Source organism: Homo sapiens, chromosome 11 (genome assembly GCF_000001405.40).
Source record: "Homo sapiens chromosome 11, GRCh38.p14 Primary Assembly".
NCBI classification, from domain to species: Eukaryota; Metazoa; Chordata; class Mammalia; order Primates; family Hominidae; genus Homo; species Homo sapiens.
Genome location: NC_000011.10, coordinates 66,703,662 through 66,716,924, shown reverse-complemented (window position 1 = coordinate 66,716,924; position 13,263 = coordinate 66,703,662). Strand labels below are relative to the sequence as shown.

General features: G+C 53.6%; 1 protein-coding gene and 1 pseudogene across 20 annotated transcripts in view; both read left to right on the top strand.

Moving 5' to 3' along the window:
• Positions 1-13,263, top strand: part of SPTBN2 (spectrin beta, non-erythrocytic 2) — a 62,186-nt gene that overhangs the window by 27,758 nt on the left and 21,165 nt on the right. For all 20 annotated transcript variants that reach the window (XM_047427495.1, NM_001437541.1, NM_006946.4 and 17 more), the window contains 12 exons: positions 944-1,095; positions 1,530-1,703; positions 2,518-2,609; positions 2,754-2,834; positions 3,179-3,294; positions 5,896-6,008; positions 6,156-6,343; positions 7,906-8,023; positions 8,626-8,784; positions 9,107-9,409; positions 11,088-11,241; positions 11,457-12,327. In XM_047427495.1, the coding sequence (XP_047283451.1) occupies positions 944-1,095; positions 1,530-1,703; positions 2,518-2,609; positions 2,754-2,834; positions 3,179-3,294; positions 5,896-6,008; positions 6,156-6,343; positions 7,906-8,023; positions 8,626-8,784; positions 9,107-9,409; positions 11,088-11,241; positions 11,457-12,327 (2,521 nt within the window). The remainder of the gene's footprint in view (positions 1-943; positions 1,096-1,529; positions 1,704-2,517; positions 2,610-2,753; positions 2,835-3,178; positions 3,295-5,895; positions 6,009-6,155; positions 6,344-7,905; positions 8,024-8,625; positions 8,785-9,106; positions 9,410-11,087; positions 11,242-11,456; positions 12,328-13,263) is intronic.
• Positions 3,916-4,205, top strand: RN7SL12P (RNA, 7SL, cytoplasmic 12, pseudogene; annotated as a pseudogene).

The window sequence follows — 13,263 nt, the reverse complement described above, 5'->3', positions numbered from 1 at the left end:
CTATACCATCAAGTCCTAATGACCGCTTGGAAGAGCCGCTGCAATAATTTTAGCCCACACCTTCTCCTTTGTCTGCAACCAAAAGAGAACAGCCATACCTCCCACCGGCCTGGGCAGCTCTTGCTCTCCTTCGGGCCAGATCACACCACTTTATAACAGCAGCTCACCAAGGAGCCATTTTGTGCCAGGCACCAACTAGTTGTTTTATATACCTTATCTCATTTAATCAACACAATGACCTGTTGAAGTAGAAAGTGATGTTCCCATTTTACAGATGAGACATTGGGGCTCTGATGAATGAAGTCACTTGACCAGCATTCCACTGCTTCCACGACTGCCCCATCCCAGCCCCTCCCTGCATGTCCCATGGTTTCTGAGGATGAAAGGTCTTCATCCTTTCTTCTCAAAGCCTATTTTCTTTTCTTTTCTTTTCTTTTTTTTTTTTGAGACGGAGTCTTGCTCTGTCGCCCAGGCTGGAGTGCAGTGGCACAATCTCGGCTCCCTGCAAGCTCCCCCTCCCAGGTTCACGTCAGTCTGCCTCAGCCTCCCGAGTAGCTGGGACTACAGGCGCCCGCCACTATGCCCGGCTAATTTTTTGTAATTTTAGTAGAGACGGGGTTTCACCGTGTTAGCCAGGATGGTCTCGATCTCCTGACCTTGTGATCCGCCCGCCTTGGCTTCCCAAAGTGCTGGGATTACAGGCATGAGCCACCACACCCAACCTTCGCCTATTTTCTGTCTTTCATCTTTCTTCTTTACCTTGCTTATGAGCTCATTGCAAGTTACGGGCTTTCCTCCCGGTCATCTTCCTTCCCTTCCTCCTCCTTAGAGGACCCCGCTTCCCATCTCTCAGGCTTCTCCATCCCCCACCCCTGCCAACTGGTGTTTAGAAGCAGGCATACTGAACTCGAGGGACAGAAATAAACCCATGTTGCCACCACAGATGAACGAGAAGCTGTGCAGAAGAAAACCTTCACCAAGTGGGTAAACTCGCACCTGGCCCGGGTCACGTGCCGGGTGGGGGACCTGTACAGCGACCTCCGGGACGGACGCAACCTGCTGAGGCTCCTCGAGGTGCTCTCGGGAGAGATACTGGTGAGCTGTGGTCATGAAGGGAAGTGGGGGGGCCTTAGAAAAGTGTCCAAGGGGACCAGCTGGAAGAACAGCCCTCAGAGAGAGTGACGGCACAGGGCGGGAAGCAGTGGCTCCCTCTGCTCAGAGGATGGGTTCATTTCAAGTGCCTTTGCCACTTAGATTACATAGGAGCATTGCTTCATGGAGACAGGAACAGTGGCCCCATTGAAAACATTTCTTTTCCCACCTACTCTGGGTGCAATTAATTCCCTTGGGAATCTTAATCTGCCCAAGCCTCATCTGTAAGCTCAGCTTTGGCTCCAGCCCTGGGGCTGTGCCTGTCTGTGTTCCTGAGGTAGGTCATGGGGAAGGTGTGCAAAGCTGGGCCCTGTGAAGGCTGGGGAAGAAGGTGGAAGCCCACAGTCCCGTGCCATTTTGCCCCCGTCCCTCCACAGCCAAAGCCTACAAAGGGCCGCATGCGGATCCACTGCCTGGAGAACGTGGACAAGGCACTGCAGTTCCTCAAGGAGCAGAAAGTGCACTTGGAAAACATGGGCTCCCATGACATTGTGGACGGAAACCACCGACTGACCCTTGGGCTGGTCTGGACCATCATCCTTCGATTCCAGGTACCCCAGCACACTGTCACACAGGGTGTGGTTCCTGCCCTGGCTCTGCACCGCAAGCCGTTCCTGCTGGCCCATGACACAACAAACACAAAGATGGAGGATCTAGAACCTTATGTAGCAGCTGCCATGGCGGCGCTATCCAAGCACCAGATCAGTGGACTCCCCTCTTTCAGCAGGGTAGAAACCAGCTTGGGTGAATGTCACACCCCTGTGGCAAATTCCCTGTGTTCTGGTCTGTGTGTTGGTCGTGTGCAATGGGACCAGGACCACAGGTTGGTCCACAGGAGACTGGAAGTTTTACCAACTGGTCCTTCACCACAGGGATTTGGGAACTTCTAGAGGGTCTGGTCACTGGCACCAATTCCCTGCCATAAACTCTGCCTGCCTCCCCCAATGGAACAGTCACCCTCCTCCTCCTCATGCCCCAGTGTCCTCATGCCATCACAGCGTTCCTGATCACCCCCTTCCTTCCCGGGTTCTGTCGGCTTCACCTTGGAGAGCCAGCTTTTAGAGACCTTGGAGAGCCAGCTCTCAGAAAATGTTCACTCTTCTGCCTGCAGTTCCCCACCTGGAGGGACCAGCACCCTCCACTCAGACACACCCATTCTTCAGCATCCTACCCTAATCTGCTGCCTCAAATCCCTTGCACCCAGTGTTTTGTGGTCCCTGGCCTAGGTTGAAAGGACCTCAGGCTATGCCTGTCCACCCCATTACCACAGTCTAAAGAGCAGTTTCCTGCCATTTATCTGAGCATCTCTGATAACACCAGGAGTTCCTGTCCAGGGACTGAGGGCCCTGCTTGCTTCCTTCCTAGATCCAAGACATCAGTGTGGAGACAGAAGACAACAAGGAGAAGAAGTCAGCCAAGGATGCCCTGCTTCTGTGGTGCCAGATGAAGACTGCAGGGTGAGGACACCCTGGGCGTGTGGCACTGGAGGGTCAGTGACCCCCAGGCTGTGCTGGGCTCCAGGAACCATGAGCTGGTGACTGCCCTGGAGTCATAGAACAGAGCTCAGCCCTACTCACCATTTTCTGAATCTCTGTTTATAGTTATCCCAACGTCAATGTACACAACTTCACCACCAGCTGGAGAGATGGACTAGCTTTCAACGCCATCGTGCATAAACACCGGTGAGAAGATGGGGTTAGCAAACGCAGCAGAGCTGCTGGGTCGGCTAATGACCTGGGGTGCACATGTGGAGACAGAGATGAGATGAGCTGCACAGCAGTCAGACGGAAGGAATAGCACTCGGAGCAGAACCAGAACATGGGGGTGCAGGGCTGCGCAGAGCACTTGTGATGGGAAGCAGGGGAGGTGGTGTGGGGAGGGGCTGTGAGCAGCAGTGTGGGTTTGGGATGCCTACTTCTGGACAAAATTGGGTCGGTGACTTAGGGATAAAGATTGGTGTGGGTTTCCTCTTCCTCTTCGAGATCTCACATGTTTCTGATCCCTTCTGTCTTGCCTCCCCACCCAGGCCAGACCTGCTGGATTTTGAGTCTCTGAAGAAGTGTAATGCACACTATAATCTGCAGAATGCATTCAATCTGGCTGAAAAGGAACTGGGACTTACCAAGCTGCTGGATCCCGAAGGTGGGGCCAGAGCTATGTGAAAAAGAGGTGGTAGGGTAGAGACAGGAGGTGGACCAGTGGTTGCCAGGGGCTGCGGAGGGGGAAGACATGGAGTAACCACCAACTGATACAGGGGCTTCTTTGGTGGGGGAAGAGAATGTTCTGGAATTAGAAAGTGGTGATGGTTACACAACCTTGTAAATATACTGAAAAACACGTGGTTGCTCACACCCAGCACTTTGGGAGGCCAAGGCAGGAGGATCACTTGAGCCTAGGAGTTTGGTACCAGCCTGGGCAACATAGTGAGACCCCATGACTACCCCTCCCCCCCAAAAAAAATATATATCTTTACACTGAAAACCACTGAATTATATACATTGAAAGGTTGAATTTTATGGTGTGACAATCATTTCTCAGGTTTTTTTTTTTTTTAACAAAAGACTGTAGGTAGGAAGAAAGGCAGCCCAGTGACAGAAAGAGCCCTGGACTGTGGGTTGTGTCCCAGGCAGAGCACAGAGGAGCTCTGTGACATACAGCCAGTGGCTAGCCTCTCTGTGGCTCAGTTTCCTCATGTCTTAAAAGAGAGAATTGGTCTCTAAGGGCTCTTCTGAAATTCTAGGATTCTAAATTAAGCTACATGTTGCTGGCCACGGTGGTACCTGCCTATAGTCCTAGCTGCTAGTGAGGCTGAGGCGAGAGGATCACTTGAGCCCAGGAGTTCTAGGCTGCAGTGGGTTATGCTGATTGGATATCTACACTAAATTCAGCACTGGTGACCTCCTGGGAGCAGGGGACCAGCAGGTTACCTAAGGAGGACTGAACCAGTCCAGGTCAGAATGGAGCAGGTCAAAACTCCCACACTGATCAGTAGTGGGATCACACCTGTCAATAGCCACAGTACTCCAGCTTGGGCAACAGCGAGACCCATCTCTATTTTTTTAAAACAAATTTTTAAGAAAAAAAATTAAGCTGCATGACCTTCCACTCTCACCCAGAACTGGCCTGTAGTCAGCTGACCTTGCTGATTGGTTCCTGTGGTTCTGGTCATAATGCCGATGAGATCGATGAGATCAGTAACAGCCACTGGGCTCTTTTTTTTTTTTTTGAGACGGAGTCTCACTCTGTTGCCCAGACTGGAGTGCAATGGCGCGATCTCGGCTCACTGCAACCTCCGCCTCCTGGGTTCAAGCAATTCTCCTGCCTCAGCCTCTTGAGTAGCTGAGATTACAGGCGCATCCCACCACGCCCGGCTAATTTTTGTATTTTTAGTAGAGACAGGGTTTCACCATGTTGGTCAGGCTGGTCTCTAACTCCTGACCTCGTGGTCCGCCCACCTCGGCCTCCCAATGCGCTGTGATAACAGGTGTGAGCCCCCGCGCCTGACTGCGATTAGGCTCTTATTTGATACCTGGTTCTGCACTTGATGTGTTTTAATCTTCACAACACCCCTTTGAAATCAGTACTGTTGTTATCCTCAGTTTATGGAAGAGAAGATGGGGGCCTATAATGGGTAAGCAACTTGCCCAGGTCCTCCGGCAGATGGAGCTGAGATTGGCGTTCAGGCAGCCTGGCTCCAGAGCCTGTTTCCTCCGCTGCCTCTGGGAAAGTGGAGACCAATCTTGGTGCAACCAGAACAGGGAGGAGAGAAAGGCTCGCCTGCTGGAGGTGCTCCTTAAGTTCACTGGGTGGATGTTCACTGGTCTTGGCCATTTTCTCCCTGTTTTCCATTCTACCTGTAGCCCTATCACCTGGGCCTTTTTACTGCAGAATGACAAGTGTCAGCGAGCTAGCAACAGACATAGGCTTCATGCAGTGCTCCTTGGAGAGCCTCTGGGTAGCATGGCTGTAATTCAGAACCTGGAAATAAAGCTAAGCATTCTGTAACTTTCCGAGATGACTTCAGTGGCTCCTGCCTGCCCATGTATTTCCAGAAATAGGCAAGAGGCTTCTGGTCTCATAGTCTTACCTTTAGGATAAAATCTGGCCTATTTAAAAGAACCCACAGATTTCAAGTTATGGTCAGCCTCAGTTGTGCGCTGGAAGCCAATTCGGCTTGAAAGACACTCCCCTCCTTGGGCCCACAGCTGAGCTTTAGGATTGAGGTTAGAAACGGCGTGATCACACCTGGAGATGGTGCTGAGAGCTGGCCTCTGTCCCCACTGAGCTGCAGGGATCACAGGGCCCATCGATCTGAGCATCCTAGGTTCAGGAGGCTTAGTTCATACCTTCCGTCCCACTGCCCCTCAATCCATTGACTTCTTAAACATTATTCTAGCCTAAAAGTCCATGATCCATCCCCACATAGCAATGCTGTTTCTTTTCTTGCTTTTCTTCCCCAAACAACTGATTTTGGTCTCCACGGGGAACTCTGGGTAAAAGCTTCCTTGTGCTTCTGGGGTTTGTGCTCTGCTTGGAGGGCCCTTCTTGTTTCCAGGAGAAGGGGAAAAAAAGATGAGCTTTTTGGTGCCCTTTTCATTTGAATGGGTAAGTTGTCATTTTGCTCTAAAAGGAGATGGAGAGATGTCAGCCTTGGAGGACTGGGCAGGCCCAGGGTTTGGGGTAAGTGATGCAAGTTATGGATGAACTTCTGGGAGGCCTGACCCAAATGGTCCTCTCTTGCAGACGTGAATGTGGACCAGCCAGATGAGAAGTCAATCATTACCTATGTGGCTACTTACTACCATTACTTCTCCAAGATGAAGGCCCTGGCCGTGGAAGGCAAGAGAATTGGCAAGGTACTGTCCATGGGCAGTAGGCATAAAGGCCAGAGGAGGCCCGGCTGAGGGGTCTTACTGCCCTAGTGCAAGGGCAGGGTGGAGCTGCAGGACTGGGCCAGGGACCCTGTGGCTGGGACTGTCACGTCCCTGTCTTCTGCCTCCCAGGTGCTGGACCATGCCATGGAGGCAGAGCGCCTGGTGGAGAAATACGAGTCCCTGGCCTCGGAGCTGCTGCAGTGGATCGAGCAAACGATCGTGACCCTCAATGACCGGCAGTTGGCCAACTCCCTTAGCGGGGTCCAGAACCAGCTGCAGTCCTTCAACTCCTACCGCACCGTGGAGAAGCCGCCCAAGTAGGTGTCCCTGGGGCCCCACCCTTCCCTGAGCTGTGCTCCCACGAGAGGAAGCCTAAATTAGCACAGCCTTCAGGGAGGGAAATTTGGCAGTACATAAATGCAGTGGAGATTTCCCACACCAGAAGCATCCAAACAACATAGTTGATACAAAATAAAATTTTTTAATGATTAGTCGTTTTTAAAAATCATGCTGTGGGCCGGGCATGGTGGCTCACGCCTGTAATCCCAGCACTTTGGGAGGCCAAGGCGGGCGCATCACCGAGACCAGTCTGGCCAACATGGTGAAACCCCATCTCTACTGAGGTCGGGAGTTTGAGACCAGCCTGGCCAACATGGTGAAACCCCGTCTCCACTAAAATTACAAAAAAATTAGCTGGGCATGGTGGCACACGCCTGTCATCCCAGCTACTCGGGAGGCTGAGGCAGGAGAACCACCTGAACCCGGGAGACAGAGGTTGCAGTGAGCCAAGATCACGCCACTGCACTCCAACCTGGGTGACAGAGCAAGACTCCGTCTCAAAAAACAAACAAACATGCTGTGGAAATGATTGCTATGATGTGTTGAGTCAGTGCGATCCATCAGATAAGATTACTGATCAGGTGTCATGGCAACCCAATCCTAGCATAGGATAGAGGGGACTGGACCTGACAGGCAGGTCACAACCGGCAACATGGGTGTGGCTGGTAACGTGAGAATTGCAGAGGTTCTTATCATTTCAGTATTTTAGCAATTAACTGTTCCAAGTATGTGATTGCTGTTAGGCAATTCTGTTCAGTACCTGCCAAAACGTCTGTGTTTATGCTGTCATGGAGTTCTTTTGGAGTTAATATATATCAGCTCTGAAACTAATATTAGTCCAGAAAACAATTGTTTCTATACATTCCAGGGAATGATTTAAGGTGTACCCTTTAACCTAGGAAGTTGTCTTCTGGACATTAAACAAAGATGTAGCTTCAAGGATGTTTATCAACACAACCACTAGAAAAGAAAAATAAGTCATGGGCAGCCACTGAAAATAATATTAAAGAAATGCATTTATTGACATGGAAAGGTGTTCATGAAAAATAAGTGGGGGAAATAGGTTATAAAAGAATTATTTTGGCTGGGCACCGTGGCTCATGCCTGTAATCCCAGCACTTTGGGAGACTGAGGCGGGTGGATCACTTGAGGTCAGGAGTTTGAGACCAGCCTGGCCAGCATGGTGAAACCCCATCTCTACTAAAAATACATAAATTAGCCAGGTGTGGTGGTGCATGCCTGTAATCCCAGCTACTCGGGAGGCTGAGGCAAGAGATTGGCTTGAACCCGGGAGGCAGAGGTTGCAGCGAACCCAGATCGCACCACTGCACTCCAGCCTGGGTGACAAAGCAAGACTCTGTCTCAAAATAAAATAAAATGATGTTCTTTTGGTTAGCCCATATTTTCTGGCTTCCACATAAAAAGTTTATATTGCTTTTGTAAGAAGAAAAGCAACACAGGACACCCATTTGGAAGAGTAAAGAGTCCTTGTGACCCTCGTGGGCTTTAATTCTGACCCCAACCCGGCCTCCTGCCTCAGGTTTACCGAGAAAGGGAACTTGGAAGTGCTGCTCTTCACCATCCAGAGCAAGCTTCGGGCCAACAACCAGAAGGTCTACACGCCCCGCGAGGGCCGGCTCATCTCGGACATCAACAAGGTCCGTGGCTGCCCACAGGCCACCCACCCTCAGGGCAGGCCCTGGCCCAGATGCCTTGCACACATCCCCAAACCCGGGGCCATGTCGACCTTCACCAAGTTCTACTATCTGCTGCCCCAACTTGAAACTCGAGCACTCTGCCCAGCTGCCCACACTGTGCCAGATGTGATTCTCCCATCCTCTCAGGCACACGGCTCCCTGTCCCTTTGTCTGACTCTCCATACGAGGTCACATAAGGAAATTATGCCCCAAGTTCCTCAGCTTGTTAAACCTGTCCCCAACTCACTATCCCTTCTTTTATTTTTTTCACAATATTGTAAGATTACTAAAAGTAAAAATAAGGTTCGCACACAGTCCTGCCAACACAAAGGAATCAGATGGTTTCCACTGTTCGTGCTCCCTCCAGTCCTTTTCCAGAAGCTTCTACATGGCTTCACAGACTCCCAGCGCTGCCCTGTTTCCTGTTTCCACGCCCAGGCGTCTCACCCACTGCATTCCACGGATCCACCAGACCGAGCTTCCATGGGACTTACCATGTGCCTCCAGCCCCACTGAGCCCTCCCCACCCTGTCCCTTCCACTAACCCTGTCCCCACCCCATAGGCTTGGGAGCGGCTGGAGAAGGCGGAGCACGAGCGTGAGCTGGCCCTGCGCACCGAGCTCATCCGCCAGGAGAAGCTGGAGCAGCTGGCCGCCCGCTTCGACCGCAAGGCTGCCATGCGGGAGACCTGGCTCAGCGAGAACCAGCGCCTCGTGTCCCAGGTAGGACTTGAGGCTCCTAGGATGCTTAGGCTGGTCAGAACTGGGAGAGAGACAGGGTGGATAAGAAGCCCCGCGGGGTGGAGAGACAATGAAACACAAAATCCGTCACCTGGGTAAAAAGGCCTAGAGGTCCGGGAGCCAGGGGCCAGAGGGTGGGACAGGAGAGAGGGTTGGTGAGACAGGATGGGGGTGGGATAGAGAGGGAACTTAGAGCCACCGCATGGAGCTGGGATCTTGCAGGCCAAGTGCCCTGCAGGACAGAGGAGCAGGCAGAGGCACTGTCCCTTGGTCCCCACACCTCCTCTCCCTGCCCCCGACACAGGACAACTTTGGGCTGGAGCTGGCAGCTGTCGAGGCAGCAGTACGGAAGCACGAAGCCATTGAGACGGACATCGTGGCCTACAGCGGCCGGGTGCAGGCAGTGGACGCCGTGGCTGCAGAGCTGGCCGCCGAGCGCTACCACGACATCAAGCGCATCGCCGCTCGGCAGCACAACGTGGCACGGCTCTGGGACTTCTTGCGGCAGATGGTGGCCGCCCGGCGGGAGCGGCTCCTCCTCAACCTGGAGCTGCAGAAGGTGTTCCAGGACCTGCTCTACCTCATGGACTGGATGGAAGAGATGAAGGTACCAGTGAGGCGTGCTGGGTGGGGTAAGAGTGATCAAGAGTCGAGGGGGCCCCACAGTGGGTGCGTCCGCCCGTCTGCTCGGCCGATCTCTGTGGAGTGTGAACCAGCACAGGGCCCTGTCCCCAGTTGCAGGGAACAAAGTAAACAGGGCCCTGTCCACATGGGGTTCGTGTCCACATGGAGGAGGCTGATGACAAAACCCACGGACCTTTCCGTAAACAAAAGAGCAGGGGCCATAAAACCACTGATGAAACTGGAACAGGGTGGTGTGAGGGGCTGGTCAGACAAGGCCTCTGAGAAAATACCATTTAAGCCGAGACCAGAATAGTGCCAGGAGCCAGCACAGAGAGCTCTCAGGAGAGAATGTTCCGGGCAGAAGGAACAGCCGGCACAGGCCCTCGGCCTGGATCAGCATGGTGTGTTCAGGATCAGAAGGAAGGCCGGTGGGCTGTGAGCATGAGGAGTGGGGGCCATGGACTGAGATTTGGGAGGGCACGGCCAGCCCACTAGGGCCTTACAGGCCTGGTCAGGGAGTTTGGATTTTATTCAAAGTAACATGGATCCTTTAAAGTGATTTGAAGGGGCCAGGCGCAGTGGCTCATGCCTGTAATCCCAGCTCTTTGGGAGGCCAAGGCAGGCAGATCACTTGAGGTCAGGAGTTCAAGACCAGCCTGGCCAACATGGTGAAACCCCGTGTCTATAAAAATACAGAAATTAACCAGGTGCGGTGGTAGCGCATGCCTGTAGTCCCAGCTACTCAGGAGGCTGAGACAGCAGAATCGCTTGAACCCAGGAGGCGGAGGTTGCAGTGAGCCAAGATTGCACCACTGCACTCCAGCCTAGGTGATAGAGCAAGACTCAGTCAAAAAAAAAAAAAAAAAGCAGCTAGGCAAGGTGGCTCACGCCTATAATCCTAAGACTTTGGGAGGCCGAGGCGGGCGGATCACCTGAGGTCAGGAGTCCAAGACCAGCCTGGCCAACATGGTGAAACCCCATCTCTGCTAAAAATACAAAAATTAGCTGAGTGTGGTGGCACACGCCTGTAATCCCAGCTAGTCAGGAGGCTGAGGAAGGAGAATTGCTTGGACCTGGGAGGTGGAGGTTGCAGTGAACTGAGATTGTGCTACTGCACTCCAGCCTGCACTACAGGAGCGAGACTCCATCTCAAAATAAATAAATAAATAAAGTGATTAGAAGGTTTTGAGAGGGGGAGAGATTTGATTGTACCTTATGTTTGTAAAAAAGTCACTTTGGCTACTCTGAAGAAGGCCTGTGGGCAGGCAGCATGACAGCGAGACCGTTAGAGGTTGCTGCCATCTTCCAGGCGGGCAGCGGCTAGGAGGGTGGATTGGGGAGAGATGTGGAAGGAAGGCTGCTGGGTGCTGGGGCGGAGCGGTGGCGGCAGGAGGGTGTCGATGATTCTGAGGCTGAGAAGATTAGTCACAGCAAAGCTTCCAAGAGCAGGAGTTAGTTAGAACATTGTTCCACAGCAGGGGAGTTCAGGATAAGGAGGTCGGGGTGCCAGGGCAGAACTGGGGTATCTCAAGTATGTGTGAGCAAGCAGGTTTCTCACCTGGGTGCAACACCTGGGGCCGTGGAGAAGTTGGAAGAAAAACGCAGCCAGGTTAGCGCGTCTGTGCTCAGGCGGGCATGTGCACTTCATGTGTGCCTGGCAGGGCCGGCTGCAGTCTCAGGACCTGGGCAGGCACCTAGCAGGAGTGGAGGACCTGCTGCAGCTGCACGAGCTGGTGGAGGCAGACATCGCCGTGCAGGCCGAGAGGGTGCGGGCCGTCAGCGCCTCTGCCCTGCGCTTCTGCAACCCAGGGAAAGGTGAGAAGTCAGCGAAGGCACTGGAGAGGGAGGGGCTGGGAAGGAGCACATCAAGAGCCGAGGTGGAAGGGTTGGGAAACCTGGGGACGGGAAAGATGGTGGCCAAACGATGGTGACTGAGCTAAAGCCAGGGAGGGAAGTCCAAGAGAGTGTGGTGGCAGGGAGCAGCCGGAGGGCTGGGTTAAGGCTCTGACCCTCTCCTGTGACTTTCTCAGAGTATAGACCTTGCGACCCGCAGCTGGTGTCGGAGCGGGTGGCCAAGCTAGAGCAGAGCTATGAGGCACTGTGCGAGTTGGCAGCGGCGCGGCGGGCCCGGCTGGAGGAATCACGGCGGCTCTGGCGTTTCCTCTGGGAGGTGGGTGAAGCTGAGGCCTGGGTGCGGGAGCAGCAGCACCTCCTGGCCTCAGCCGACACGGGCCGAGACCTGACCGGTGCCCTCCGCCTGCTCAACAAGCACACAGCCCTGCGGGGCGAGATGAGCGGCCGGCTGGGGCCCCTGAAGCTCACCCTGGAGCAGGGCCAGCAGTTGGTGGCCGAGGGTCACCCTGGGGCAAGCCAGGCCTCTGCCCGTGCAGCTGAACTCCAAGCCCAGTGGGAGCGGCTAGAGGCCCTGGCCGAGGAGCGTGCCCAGCGGCTGGCCCAAGCCGCCAGCCTCTACCAGTTCCAGGCCGATGCAAACGACATGGAGGCCTGGTTGGTTGACGCACTGCGCCTGGTGTCCAGCCCCGAGCTGGGGCACGACGAGTTCTCCACGCAGGCTCTAGCCAGGCAGCATCGGGCCCTGGAGGAGGAGATTCGAAGCCACCGGCCAACCCTGGACGCCTTGAGGGAACAGGCAGCAGCCCTGCCCCCCACACTGAGCCGCACGCCCGAGGTGCAGAGCCGGGTGCCCACCCTGGAGCGGCACTACGAGGAGCTGCAGGCCCGGGCAGGCGAGCGAGCGCGGGCCTTGGAGGCAGCCCTGGCGCTCTACACCATGCTCAGCGAGGCCGGGGCCTGTGGACTCTGGGTGGAGGAGAAGGAGCAGTGGCTCAACGGGCTGGCCCTGCCTGAACGCCTGGAGGACCTGGAGGTCGTGCAGCAGAGGTAGGCCCCTCAGGCTCCTAGTGGGACCAGCCTTGGGAGGTGGGGGTGGGGGGGCCAGGATGTGGGTGGTGAGTCCCTCCATAAACTTCCTGCCTCACCCCTTTGAGTCTTAATGGTTGTCCATTTCTAGTTTTAACAAAAAATGTTAACCATACTCACAAGTAGAGACATTTCACCACAAACCCCTCTACACCCGTCACCCAGATTCAGTCATTGCCAACATCTTGCTCTATTTGGTTCTCTGCCCTTTTAAAAAGCAAATCCCCAAGATTAGCACATCCCTCCTACCTTCTTCAGGGTGTGCCCTTTAAGAAATACAAGGAAGCGGCCGGGCACGGTGGCTCACACCTGTAATCCCAGCACTTTGGGAGGCCGAGGCAGGCGGATCACGAGGTCAGGAGGTCGAGACCATCCTGGCTAACATGGTGAAACGCTGTCTCAACTAAAAATACAAAAAATTAGCCGGGCACAGTGGGGGGCGCCTGTAGTCCCAGCTACTCGGGAGGCTGAGGCAGGAGACTGGCATGAACCTGGGAGGCGGAGCTTGCAGTGAGCCGAGATCGTGCCACTGCTCTCCAGCCTTGGCGACAGAGCGAGACTGTCTCAAAAAAAAAAAAAAAAAAAAGAAAAGAAATACGAGGAAGCATTCTTACCTACAATATATTATTTTCAAATTGTCTGTGTGGACTTAAAATAGCTGAGGCTTTGAAGTTATAAACCTTTTAGACAGAGACACTAAAATAGTTTTATTTACAGAATAAATCTTCAAATCATTTATTCAATAATAAATCTTAAAAATTTTTTTATAGAACCACAATACCATTATCACATAGAACAAAATTAGGAATTTCTTTTTTTTTTGAGATGGAGTCTCACTCTGTCACCCAGGCTGGAGCGCAGTGGTGCGATCTCGGCTCACTGCATGCTCTGCCTCCC